At 37.8% G+C, this 14,287-nt stretch overlaps 1 protein-coding gene across 11 annotated transcripts in view; it reads left to right on the forward strand.

Annotated features, from left to right (window-relative positions):
* ADGRL2 (adhesion G protein-coupled receptor L2) overlaps window positions 1–14,287 on the forward strand; it is a 687,801-nt gene that overhangs the window by 391,343 nt on the left and 282,171 nt on the right. For 6 of the 11 annotated variants that reach the window (XM_047416152.1, XM_047416118.1, XM_047416159.1 and 3 more), the window contains one exon: window positions 2,273–2,334. The exons of 2 other annotated variants lie outside the window; for them this stretch is intronic. The gene's annotated coding sequence lies outside the window, so the exon portion shown is untranslated. Of the gene's footprint in view, window positions 1–2,133; window positions 2,335–14,287 lie in introns of those variants that run through there. 3 more of the 11 variants (XM_047416096.1, XM_024454355.2, NM_001297704.3) reach the window with 1 other exon arrangement.

Raw genomic sequence — 14,287 nt, forward strand, 5'->3', positions numbered from 1 at the left:
TGGAAGGCATAATAATGATATTGTCAGGCTCCTTGCCAGGCTGTGTGCTTTTTCAGGAAAGGGACCTGTCATCTTGCCCTTGGTATGATCATTGACTGACCCATAGTAGCCGCTCAGATGTCTTTTAAAGAATGACACAAAATGAAATGTGGTAACCAAGACATTGGATAGCAAAATCAGGAATCCAAATATCCCAAATAATTAGAACAATGAGCCAGTACCAGAGATAAGCTCTAGAATGGATGGAAAAAGTTGTAAGAGGTTTGATTAAACAGAATTTGGTATGAAAAAGATTTAGATGTTTTTAGATGTTTTAGTTTTGTAAAAGTTCAAGCACTAAGAATAATAATGATGCCAGCCCCTCCTCAGAGTGCATTTCCTGCCTCCACAGAATTCTAAATTATTAGAAATAGAGTGCAGAACAAGGCAGGCATCAGTACCCATGTATTTTGCATAATTAGACCACATTTCAAATAGTGCATTCAGTTCTGACTGCCACATTTAGGAAAGGCATGGACAAACTGGAATCTCTCCAATATGGTGATAGGCATTAAAAGCCATATCATGTTATAATGATTAAAAGGAATGTTCAGTCTGAAGAAAGAGGAGACGTAGAGAAAAATGATAGCCATTTTTCAAATAGTTGAATAACTTTCATGTGGAATAAGGATTAAATTTATCCTCAGAAGCTTTAGAAAAAGCTCATACCAAAGAATAGAAAATTCAGGAAGGTATTGGTCAAAAATAAGGAAGATCTCATTTAAAATGAAACTAGATTGTCTTAGAGGTAGTAATGTATTATCTTCAACTTATTTAATTTTAATTTACTTGGCCAATGATTACTGCTCACATGTATGTGCATACCATGTATACATCCTATATATGAAAGAAGCCTTCAAGAGTTTGTAGGTTAGTTGATTTATATAATTTATAATTTCCATATATGTAGTTATAAATGTACCTCTAAACATGTACTGAGCAAATATTTATTGAACTCATTACATGTCAATCTTGTGCCAGATGTGATGGGCAAGTTGAAGCAAAGGCAATATTTTGTAAGAAATTTTTGCTTGGGTAAGATATTGGATGAAACTTTGATATTTGAGACCAAATCAATCTAAAAATAGCACAGTTTGCTTGATTTAAATGTCAGTAAGGAATCAAGGGGTCTGAGAAAATTAAAATCCCACCTCTAGAGTACAGTACATTGACAAAATGGGTTGAAATTACAAGTCAAATGCATGACCTTTCCATCTATTTAGCCCTATATTTTTTATACTTTGTTTTGATCATGTTATACTTGCATGACAAATAATACATATAATTTTGGCATGTTTCTAAAATCTGGTCTTGCTTCTTCAATGCCTGAATTCCATTTACATACATGACTATAAAGAGATATGTAGCCAACCAACTTTTTTTTAATACCACAATCAACAATAAAATAAATTAACTGTCTACTGCTCCTTAGGGAGCAAAAATGATTTCCTTTCCTTAATAAGTTTACAGAAAGCTTCTCCTATTATCCTTTTCTCTTTAGAAGAAGTAAAAGGATCATAACTAACACATGTATTTGGTTTGCTATTAGAAAATTTAAAAGCAAAATGTACAACATACAACATACACAGCGATATTCATTTTGATTGTTTGAGGAACTCTAATTTTATTTTCCTCTGCCTTTTGTTTTGCAAACAGTTGCTTTAGAAAAGGTGAAAATACAGTCATTCTCGATGTTTAAATAAAGCTATATTTTTAAGACAGGAACATAAAAAGAGCCCATTTTTGCTAAATGGTTAGATTTAATTAGAAGAGGGTGATTCTAAAAAGGAAACAAACAGAAAGCTGTAGAACAGCCCAGTCCTGCTCACTGCAGCCCAATCCTGATTCAGCAAATAGGTATTTGCCAGTAGCAATGAGCATTGTGTACTACAATGACGGTGCTGCTTAACTCGATACTGTTCCCACACCTCAGTTAGTCGGGCCCAGTGCGTGGGTAAATCATGAAGTCACTGGGTACTTGAGCAAAATATTGGAAGCAATGGAGGTTATGAGGGTTTAGAGACAGGTGGAACTGGCTACCTGATCACAGCCACACCCAACTTTTAAAATGTACCTGGCAACAAAATTCATGCCAATATGACACCTGTCTGCTTAGGAAATTCCTGACGAAACACAGAAGGGCAGGCTTGGGATCTTAATAGTGTTGTGACTGTGATTTCCCCAGGAGCCTCTCTGGAAAAGGCTCAATACTCTTTTCTCACTTGTTTGCCAGTTGGAATTTGAAGAGAGCTTGATAACTGTGTTCTATGTGGATCCAGCATTACAACTGATAAGGTAAGGGCAATTATATCTCTTTGTTTGATCATTAAAGTCAGAGTATAAAGAAATCCCCTACTACTCCATCTTCCCTTTCAAATGTAGATTACTAGGGCAATCTTGCCAGTGTATTTCAGGATCTTGAACTTGAGGGATAGAATTGTCTGGTGCCTGCTCTAAAAAGAGATAGCCAGCCCCTGCAATAGCTGTCGGTACAGTTTCTGGCTAATGAAATGCAGAGAAATGAGGAAGATGGTGAGCTGTGCTTGTGTGGTAACGGGTGATTTCAGAGGAAAATGTCAAAGCAGCTCATCTCCCGAGGCCCTACATGATGATGTTTTAGTAGCCACCTTTATTCAAGATTTAAATTTATGAAAAGAGAATCATAACGATATCTTAATTGCTCTGAAGATGTCTTTTCAAAAGAATTGTCACAGGAAGATTTCCTTCAGAGGAACGGAGAAACCAAAGGAGATGGCTTTATTGTGGAAGAGTTGAGGAAAGCCTTCTGTCCTAGAAGTTAACATTTACGGATCTCTCTGGCAAATAATAGTCTCCGTTTCAAGTCCATTATGTTTGATAAGGATTCAAAAAGTCTTAATCGAATCTAGCAGTCATTGCTGCTTGTTTCTTTCCTAATCTCCCTGATTTTGAATTATAAGATCTTTGTCTCTTAAAATAAAACATCATTTGTTAAAGCCTTTTCAAAATTAAGACCAAAACCGTCACAACTAATTGTTTCTTGGCATCAAATAAACAAATTTTTAAAGTTTGATGAATTGTTTGTAAGCTCTAATCAAGTGCGTGGTGTCATAAAAGAGGGGAGGGAACCCACTGAAACAATATATGTAATTTGTTTGCATTAGTATTTGAGATAATTACAAAGCAAGTGTTCAAAAGCTGTTCTGTATACTCCAGAAGGGGGAAAGATAGGAGAGGAAAAGCATAAGAACACCCAGCCATTGTCAGCTGCTCTCTAAAATATTGCCGGATTCACAATTGTCGAACATTAGCACTACTAAGAATGCTGGGGACAGAGTGTCATGTTGAATGTAGAGTGATGACTTCATAGGAAGGCAAAGCTGAAGATATGACCAGTTTGCAGTCACAGAAAAATCAGCTTTAATTAATTTGAGTGCCAGCTCTGTGTATAATTACACAGCATGAGAGTTTGCATGCAAATGCAGAAATGCTGATTGTTCAAATACTTGCACTTGCTCATTAATACGTTGGGACTAAGCAGGGCTGGCAAGCAGACAGGGTACGGCACACACGGTGCCTGCAGGCTAATTTGTATTATACTGTAGTTAGCAAACAGATTTCAGATGTTTCTCCTTTCTTTAAATAATAAGCACAAAAATATGTATGTCATTTTCATCGGTGGCATACCTTGTTTTCTTTTTGATTAAAATAAAATGTTTTTGGTTTCTGAAAAAGTGTTGAGGGTACATTAAACATTACTAGAACACTGATTTATAACCATTGATGCCAGGTCTGGGATATTTCTATTTGACATTTCATGTAATTGTCCAAACTGATCATATTTCATAATTAGTGAAACTATATTCAAACAATATAAGTTTATGATTAAATCCCATGGAGGAACAAAGGGAGAGACACAGTTGTATTGCCTACTTTTCTGTCGAATCTAGTATCTTGTAGTCAGCATTGGCTGGGTCCAGAAGCTTCAGTAGAACTGATTTCTTTGTGAAAGTACCTAATCCTAAAATGTCCTGCGGTGAGATTTTCCATTCTGACCACTGAATCTTTTCAGAGATCAGCTTCAACCAAATTCCCAACTATCTGGACAACACCCTAGGGGAAAGAGTCTGCCTAAATCACTACACCAGGAACATCTGATAATTTATTAAGGAATTTGCCCAAGTTCCCCAAATCTGGTACTACTATCAATGCTGTCTGTTTTCTTGCCAACATTTCAATGCTTTTCAGTTCTACAAATATTTATGGAGCACCCATTTCTGTTAGACACTGCAAAGCAGAGGATGTACTATAGTAAGCCAGATAGATACAGTCTCTGCATTGGCTATCTCTTTTCTCCCAGGAATTGTCTCAGGAAGGAACCTACGTCAGTTCCCTGGGACATAGATGTTTTTAGCAGTCATTACCTTGGGGGAAAGCCCACATTACAGAAACTTGAATCTATGGCCTTCCATAAATACAGTTTTCATGGTCCTTCTGGGACTCTCTGATATTCTTTCAACCCTATTCTTGTGTAAGATGAAGGAAGCTACCTCTGTCTTGAGGGTTGAATGGAAATTTAATGGATATGTGAAAGAGTCTATTAGGCAAGCCCAAAAGTTTTATAAGAATATATTGAAGAGGAAGGCTGTCATACCTTTCCCTGAAAGCCTATATCTGTAAGAATAGTCATTTCTCAAGGAAAAAGGGTGAACACAACATGTAGGTGGATATGGGGCACTTTACACCATTGGGTCTGACCACAAGTAGGCAGGCATCTACCTACGTGTTTTCAATATGACCAGCTGAGAAACACCAGCTAGACAGCATCACCCCTTCTTTCTAAAAACTCTGCCAATGTACATGTACAAAGATGGAAGGTGACAATAAAAACACTCATACATACCACCTAAGCTTCCACTTCACTTTCAGAGTAGTCATAACCTTCTCATGCTACATATCACAAGTATGCAAGAAGGAAGAAGAAAATCCAGGATGGTGAAAGAACTCCAGGGTATCTTCATGATGTACAACACAGTAATTTCGGAACAGTGGTTTTCAGAGAACAACTATGAATTGCAAGTACCCTGAGCTCAAACAACTTTTCCTTATGGCTCTGTCATGGTCAGACACACATGATTAGGAAACAAAACAAAAACAAAAACAAAAACAAATTTCCAAAATATGTATGAATTAAGAAAACACCATCTTGCTGGGACCAAAATATTAAAAAATATTTGTTATATGGATTACTGGTATCTTTACCAAGGAGAGTTAAAAAACATCTTAAGGGCTTTTGCCTATAAGAAATGAATTCTAATGGGGTTATGGTAATATATGAAAGGAACCATATTCACAGATGATGCAAGTAATTTCATGAAGCTACTAAGGGATAGGAGAGAAAGATAATACATTTGTAAAGAAGAAAGTAGAGAATTTATTCTGCAACTAGAAAGTTTTCAGGAAACCTGAGAACACTCTAGCTACAGAGATGAAGAAAGCATGTAACCCAGTGTAGAAGCACAACACACTGGGGTAGTTCAGGATGGTCAATCGCGCTGATTAATACAGCGTGAGAACCATAGAAGGAATGAAAGCAGCTAGTGAGTCAGCAATGATTAGGTCAACAAAAACTGTTTCCTCAGATTTGTGGGCTGAAATATGTATTCCACAGAAGACATATTTCAAGGGCATGAGAAGAATGAAGGGGAGAATAATTGAAGATAGCAAATGTGAGGAATCTGTACCCAGAAAGTGAAGCGGGAGAAGTAAGCAAGAAAAGTTTTAGGCAAGTGGAGATTTGAGCATGTTTGCAGAAGGGAAGAAATTAGTGGAGCAGGGGCAATTGGAGTTGTTAGGGGAAATGTGTGATTAATGGAACAGGAGTTGGGGAGAATCCAGGTAGTTATGCTAGCTAGAGAGTTTTTGTTTTCTGTTGTTGTTGTTGTTGTTGTCTTATTCCAAGAGAGAAGGACAGGAAAAGAGGATGGTGTCAGGAAATCTGAGGTGGAGGCGAGGAAAGTTATGAGAGTATGTGCCAGATGCCTTTGGTCCAGTGTGGACATTGGTGAGATCATCTCCTGGGAGAGTAAGTATAGGAAAGGGTGGAAATGACACAGAGATAAAAACAACTTTATTCTCGTACCGAAGAAAAGGAAGAGCAAAATAATGTAAAACAATTTACAATGAAAATGGGTAAAAAAATGTAAGGAGAATGAAGAAATGGAAACTGGTTATTATAAAGTTTCACTTAAACATTAACTTGTGCCAAGGTTAAATGAGTAATGAGTCTGGACTTAGGATTACCTAACAGTCTCTAAGTTTACATTTTCCAATATCAGCCCACCAAAAGTAATGGGTTCTTTTGTTTGTTTGTTTTATTTTTAGTTTAGTGCTCTTGTATTCTACACTAAGGAAGGAAGTGTGGGGCAGATATCTGCATATGAAGTAAAGGAGGCCAATAAGCCACAAAAGAGCTTAGTCTTTAAGGAAAAACCCATCATCTCTCTGGAGCTACCCCTTCCCCCTGCTCATCTTTGGCCTTGCTGGTAACAGTAAATGTATTTATTTAACTACATGACACAAGCCTGTATGGGGATGCTTAGGCCTCCCTTCATCATCATACTTCCCCTCTTACACAACCCAGATTTCTGTTGGCTCATACCACCTGGGTGAAACACCAAATTCAGGGCAGCCATCTCCTAAAAACCAGTTAAATCTAATACCTGTGCATTACTTGGCAAAAAGAGAAGGCCCTAAAAGTCTGACTGTCTGCTTAATGCGTCTGGAATTACCATTAGCATTTAGGATAGGTGCATTCTTAGGCTTAGCTGGCTAGTCCGGTTTTCCTGCCTCAAGACAGAGCATAGCACATCAGTCACTAAGTGGCTGCCAGTGGACACAGGGCATCCCCTGGGAGCGGCGGGCCTGGATATGGTCTAACAGGGGCGCTGAGCATTGAGATTCCTGGAGAGATTAGTGGTAGTGGTATGTGGATGTCTGGGCCTTCAAGGACCAGATAGTAATCAGTAGGAAAAGGAACAACACAAAAATGGTCCCAGAATACTTCCAGCCTGCCATTTGCTGCTGCTTCCAATTTCCTTCTTCTTTGGTCCTCTTTCTCTGCTTTCCTCTTCCCCACCTTTCCCAGATCCCAAGTCTAAGGGTCTTGTTGACCAGGTAAAACAGTTTGTAACATGTGGCAAATAGAGAATGTTGAAGATTTTTAAACAAAGGAATGAAACTCACCTTAATTCAAAACCAAAGATATCTTGAGGAGCTACTTTATGTCAGGCACTGGAGTGTATGTAGGGGATTTGAAGATAAACATATCAGGCCTTTTACTTAAGGAATTCATCATCTAATGGAAAGACAAAACTGTTAAACTCAAATACTGGATGACATAGGGGTACTGAAGAGAGGAAACGAGGATGATGGCAGAAAAAGACACTTCTGCAGAAAAAGAAAAATACTGGCAAAGCAAATGTCTGAAGCAAATGCATGTAGATATGGGAATGCACATAAACATGAACAAAACAGTGTTGTTGTTTTCTTTTAATTTTATTTATTTATTTATTTATTGAGACAGAGTCCCGCTCTGTCGCCCAGGCTGGAATGCAGTGGTGCAATCTCGGCTCACTGCAACCTCCACCTCTCGGGTTCAAGCAGTTCTCTGCCTCATCCTCCCAAGTAGCTGGGATTACAGGCATCCGCCACCATGCCCCACTAATTTTTGTATTTTTAGTATTGGCCAGGCTGGTCTTGAACTCCTGACCTTGTGATCTACCTGCCTTGGCCTCCTAAGGTGCTGGGATTATAGGCATGAGCCACCACGCCCAGCCCTGTGTATTATTTTTCTGGCAGCAATGTATAATGTTGTTTGGATGCAGAAAAGCCTACAGGTGTGCATCACCATGCCAGGCTAATTTTTGTGTTTTTAGTGGAGACGGGGTTTCACCATGTTGGCCAGACTGGTCTCGAACCCCTGACCTCAGGTGATCTGCCCATCTCTGCCTCCCAAAGTGCTGGGATTACAGGCGTGAGCCATGCGCCCGGCTGGGAGCAGCTCTTAAACGGCAAAATTCCTGTAGCCAGGTCAGCCTGTGAAAGAACAGCAGGAAGCCAGCCTATAGAAAAGAGGTGAAGGGCTGGGCGCAGTGGCTCACACCTATAATCCCAGCACTTTGGGAGGCTGCAATGGGAGGATCGCTTGAGGCCAGGAGTTTGAGACTGGCCTAGGCAACAGCAAGATTCCACCGCTATAAAAAATTTAAAAGGTTAGATAAACATGGTGGTAGTCTCAGATATTCAGGAGGCTGAAGCAGGAGGATCGCTTGAGCCCAGGAGTTCGAGATTGCAGTGAACTGTGATCATGTGAGCTATATGCACTCCAGCCTAAGAGACAGAGCAAGACCTTATCTTTAAAAACAAAAATTTTGGGGCCAGGCGCGGTGGCTCATGCCTGTAATCCCAGCACTTTGGGAGGCCAAGGCGGGCGGATCACGAGGTCAGGAGATCGAGACCATCCTGGCCAACATAGTCTCTACTAAAAATACAAAAATTAGCTGGGCGTGGTCATGCACGCCTGTAGTCCCAGCTACTTGGGAGGCTGAGGCAGGAGAATCACTTGAACCAGGGAGGTAGAGATTGCAGTGAGTGGGGATCACGTCACTGCACTCCAGCCTGGTGACAGAACAAGACTCCGTTTCAAAAAATAATAATAAAAATAAAAACAAAAAAATAAAAAAATTTTTTTAAAAAGGGATGGAAAAGAGGATATAAATGGTCAAGAAACCTTAGAGGAGAAATTGACAGGGTTTTGCATATTATTGCAGAGAGACAGGAAAGCTGTCATACTTGACTTTAAGGTTTCAAACCTTGGTGATGACATTTTTGAAAAAATAGGAAACATAGGAGGGGATGTAAATGTGAGAGGGAAGATATCGAATCCAATTTGGACGTAATGAGTGTTTTAGGTGCCAGAGCTTGTCTTTCCAGAGAAGAGCAGTGTGCAGGTGGAAACCTGTATTTAGCACTGAGAAGACGCAGGGCTAACAGCAGAGCTGTGGGCATCCTCTGCAGACAAGACCCAAAGGATAGGTGAGATTGTCAACGAAAAGAGAGAACAGGTGAGAAAAGGGCTAAGGAACAAACTTTTAGATCACATACACATAGAATGCAAAGAGGAAAGAGACAGAAGTTGCAGTCACACAGTTAAAAAGAAAACTGAGAATGTCCCAAGAAAGGAAGAAAGGGTGGAGAGTTTCTGGAAGCAAGGCCTGATCAGGCATCAAGGAGGAGACACAGACAAGGAAGATGGAATATGAGAACATTAGCTGTCACAATGACTTAGTCATGGATGACTTTCAGGAGAGAAATTTCATGAAGAGATTTCTCTTCATAGGAAGAGAAGTCATAAGCTGGGTGATAAGGACTTACCAAATGGCTCTAATGTATTTTAATATTGAAACAAAAGCAAAGCATTAAGCTTTCTAGGGGTTTAGCCCTAAATTGGAGGAACAGAAGATAAGAAATAGGGACTACCTCAAAGGGTGAGGAAAGTAGTACAAATTTAACTTGGTCTGCCGCGCTATTTTACCCAACCAGAGGCCTGTTGTAATCCTGGTTTCTCTCAAGCTGTTACTTCCCATCCTCAAGTGAAGGTGGGTGGCGGTTAATGGGGAAAAACTTGATGACTAAGGTTAATTATCAGAAAGAAAAATTACAGTGTACAATTATCAGGGGGAAAAAAAGGATGACTAAGGCCATAAATCACAATCAGGCTCTTCCTACAATTCATGCTTAGGAATTAAAGGAATTTTCCCCTAAGAATGTCATCTCCACTCCACCCACTGTTCATGGCCTATTTTATCTCTTTGAATACAGTCTATCCTCATAGGAGAATGTGAAAATTTCTTGTTTTGTGTGGCCTGCCCATAGGAAAAGGCCTTGATGATAATCCTTTCACGTAAAAGTGTGTTCCTTGGCTTCTGGTGACTTTTAAAAGCTATAGAATTCTCACAAAAGCTTTGCTATCCATGTAGCAAATTCAGTGGTCAGTCTCCCTACCTTATTAGGCTTAGTTTAAAAGCCATGATAATCTGGACAATCCTAAATGAAGGTATATCTTTCCTCGGCTTTTGCTTGAATGTATGTTATTGTTGTTGTTGTTGTTGTTGTTGCATCCACATGTTGGATGCTCAGTGCTCGGTTCTACCCAAACCAATCTGATAACAAATACCACCATATTACCTGTGAGTAGAATATTATTTTTGCCCTATTCGAATACTTTTTTATTAGCCACCCACAGCTCCTCTTCAACTACATGCAGATACCCCTTTAAGAGTGCAGCTGAGGTGTGATATCTAGCTTGCTGGAAGAGAATATAATTATGTTTTTACCTAATAGGTAATCTCTGTGTTATCCAAGAGTTCTGTATGGGGAATATGAATTATCCATGTACCACATTAACAAAGCATTCAATTGCACTTAGCTTGTGTTCTTCTTTTCAAATATAAGTAGCTATTTTAAATGCCTACGCTTGTTCTCTCTTTCTTTTTAGTTGTAAGAATATCTCTGCCACTTACCTAATTTTTGCAAACTTTTTATTTTTGTGCATATATTTGTGTACATATACACAAACACATGCACACATACACACACATTCTAAAGCACTCAAGGAGGCACCTTCATAAACTTGCCTTGCACGGTTGTTGGTTTATCCGTCAAAGAAATCATTACCAAGAGAATGCCGTGCTTCACATGCTTACTAAATTTTTTAAAAATGCTTTTCATTATATTTATGCAAACATAACTTGGCTAGCTCATAATTTACCAAATTTAAGCATTTGTCAGGGTTATTTCCAATCACTCAGAAAAATGTGCCTTTGTGTATTTTGATTATTTAAAGCAATATTGTTTCCATTATGCATATCTGTTGCCAGAACAGCATGACTGTCTTGACTGAATGAGGAAGTGGGAATGCTCTTAATTTTCCTACACGCATCTGCAGAAGTACTTTTGATTGTTTAGCCAATGCACATATAATGATGTAGGCATAAATGTTTCTGCACACATTTTCCTTGGCACTTCAGAAGAGAAGGGTAATGCAAAGGGTAATTACATATACTATTGTTTGCATTAAAATTTACATATATATATATATATACACACACACATATATATATCCTAAATTGTAAGCTGAGGAAATGTTTAATATTTTGAAGCATAAAAATTAGGATGGACTCCTTCTATAGAAATCTCTGTTATGTGATCACATTTTATTTATATACTTCAGCTAAACAATTTCCTTTATTTTTTGCTTTGGGCTTGTATAAGCTTTCTACCAAACTCTAAAGTTCTTAGGGATCAAATAGTGCTACTCAAACTTGCTTACCTTGCCTTGAAACACATCAACTTACTTGCTCGTTAGATGGGTCCATTATTTTCCAAGGAGACAGGAAAGGAAAACAGACAAGGTATTAGAGACCACACTTCTGAATATGGTCTCACCATATAACTATAGAATCAAACATTTTCTTCCTAGGTTACTATAGTTCATCGAATCTAAGATGCTGTCAATGGTAAGATGTACCCTTATTTTATATTCTAAAAAGAAAAACTAAAACTCTGCCAATGAAACGATGATATACTACTGATTGAACAAGTTATCCTTATTTCAGAGAAGTCATTAGGGTGGTATAAAAGTAATTGTGGTATTTGCCATTAAAGTACTGCAAAAGCCGAAATTACTTTTGCACCAACCTAATGGGAGACAAGATCCATTTTACAATGGATAAAATAGGCTTTATGGAATAATTAGAGAGCTTTAGCTCTTGGGTATAGTATGTTAACTACATCAGCCAACTGAATGGTGCTCCTTTCCTGCAAGAGACTATCTCCTCTATTCAGTGAGACTAAAAAAATGTACCATGGATTCCAAATTGCTTCTGCTGTTTCCCATGTACAGAGTTATCAAGAAGATATTTTCTCTTTTAAAAGAGATGACTTTGGCTTGAAGGAAGCAGAATAGTAGTATAAAAAGTAAACACAAAAAACAAAACAAAAAAAACCTTAGTGTTTGGAGTTTATTTTTTTTTTAATTTAAACTTTATTCTTGTTTCTGTGAGTCCTTAGGCTATGGGTTGACCTAGCTGACACTTGATTTCCCTACTCACTGTTTCCTCAGTTCCCAGTTTTTCTGCCCATCCATCTCTCTTCTCCACACTATTAAGAGGCATTTGAAATTTTGAGGTGGGTACTAAGTATGCCTTAAAATATCATTATAAAACAATATTAAAAAATGGTCAACCAAGCTTTAAAAAAATTTTCGAAACATGTTAAAAACTATCCTATTCCAAACAAATTCTTGTAAAATGTATACATTAATAATGAAAGAAGTAAAGTCAATTGTTTGGCTATCAGAGAAGGGACTTATAGAGAAATAACTGTTTCCCCGTCCCCCTCACCAACTCAACTTGATTTAATTAGTTGATTAATCATGGCTGAACAACTAATCACCTGTGGTGTGTCTCCTTATCTGTTTTGGAAATAGGCGTTACAAGGCAAGAAACAAAGCTAGGGGGAAATATTAAATTGCAATTTAATTTATTTATCACATATTGCATATCAAGATATTTTCTAACGTGTCAGATTCTTCTGGCATTATAGGCAATATTCACTTACTCATCACTCATCCATCTGTTAAATAAACCCATATGAAGCACCTCACGAGTCTCAGGTACTCTGGACAGAAAGATGAACAGTGCTGCCTTTCTATAGCAGTGTTTCTCAAACTTTTTGAGCTAATAACCCATTTCTACTCTCAAAAATTATTGAGGATTCTAAGAACTCTTGTGAGGCATGGTGGCTCATGCCTATAATCACAGCACTTTGGGAGGCGGGCAGATCACTTGAGGCCAGGAGTTCGAGACCAGCCTGGCCAACATGGTGAAACCTCATCTGTACTAAAAATACAAAAAATCAGCTAGGTATGGTGGCACACACCTGTAGTCCCAGCTACTCGGGAGGCTGAGGCATGAAAATCACTTGAATCTGGCAAGTGGAGGTTGTAGTGAGCTGAGATCACACCACTGCACTCCAGCCTGGGTGACAGAGAGAGACTCTGCTCAAAAAATTAAAAAAAAAAAAAAAAAAGAACTTTTATTTTTTGTGAGTTACATCTCTCAGTATTTACCACGTTAGAAATTAAAATGAGAAATTTAAAAATATTTGTTAATTCAAAATTTATGAAGAAAATCAGCCTTGCACAGATACTAGATGCAAAAAAAGGAAGAATATTTTACTAGCCTTCTCAGATAAATGTGCTATTCTTCTTTGATATTGAATAAAACTTTGACAAATAGTTTATTAAAGGTTAGTTGCAAGGTGGAATCTGAAACCATATCAATGAACATTTAAAAATCTGCTGCATTAAAATACATTGGTTAATCTTACATTTTGGATAGATCTTTAACCAATATACTACATGCATGATTTTGTAACATCATGCATTGGTCATTTGGAAAGTATTGTTTCACTGAGTTATGTAGATTTCCCATATGTCAGCATATTTCATGAAACATTTTAAAAGGAATCACCACTGTTAATATCACCACCAAGCTTATCAGAAAAGTCTTTACATATTACGAAGCTGTCAAGTTCACAGTGACAGATACAAATTGTTCTTCAGGTTACAATTCTTGTCCGCATGTTTGAATTTTATCATTGGCAATAAGTACTGTTGATTGTTTTCCTTGAAGTGATTTGGCTTGCTTTCATTCATTGTTTAAAAAATATCTGCACAGCACCTAAATCTGAATAACCATCGTTTGTCTGTCAGTTGCTTTTTAAAGTAAAAATGGTATTTCATGAAGAGAGCAGCTATGTCAGGTTACAACTCAAACATTTATCTCATAAGTGCTTTTCCTCAAGACGGTCAGACTTCGGTAGTCTGTGAAAGTGCTTTTTGCATGCATCCATTTTGTCATATAGAATATTAAAGATGTATATTCAGAGATTTAGATTTCTTAAAATTAGCAATGATTGTTTTTAAAAAGACATACTTAAAATTGGTATTTTTTTGTTTGTTGTTTGTTTTGTGTTGTTTTTGTTTTTGTTTTATTGCAAGTGTGAGGTGGTTAAGAATATGACTATAGTGCTACATATGGTTTGGTGCCACAGTTTTAATTTATGCTAAGATGTTAGCAGTTTTATACACCAGTGCTTTCTATCATCATTGCAAATGTCAACAGAGTGAAAAAGGCAAATAATG

This window comes from Homo sapiens, chromosome 1, assembly GCF_000001405.40.
Source record: "Homo sapiens chromosome 1, GRCh38.p14 Primary Assembly".
Lineage (NCBI taxonomy): Eukaryota > Metazoa > Chordata > Mammalia > Primates > Hominidae > Homo > Homo sapiens.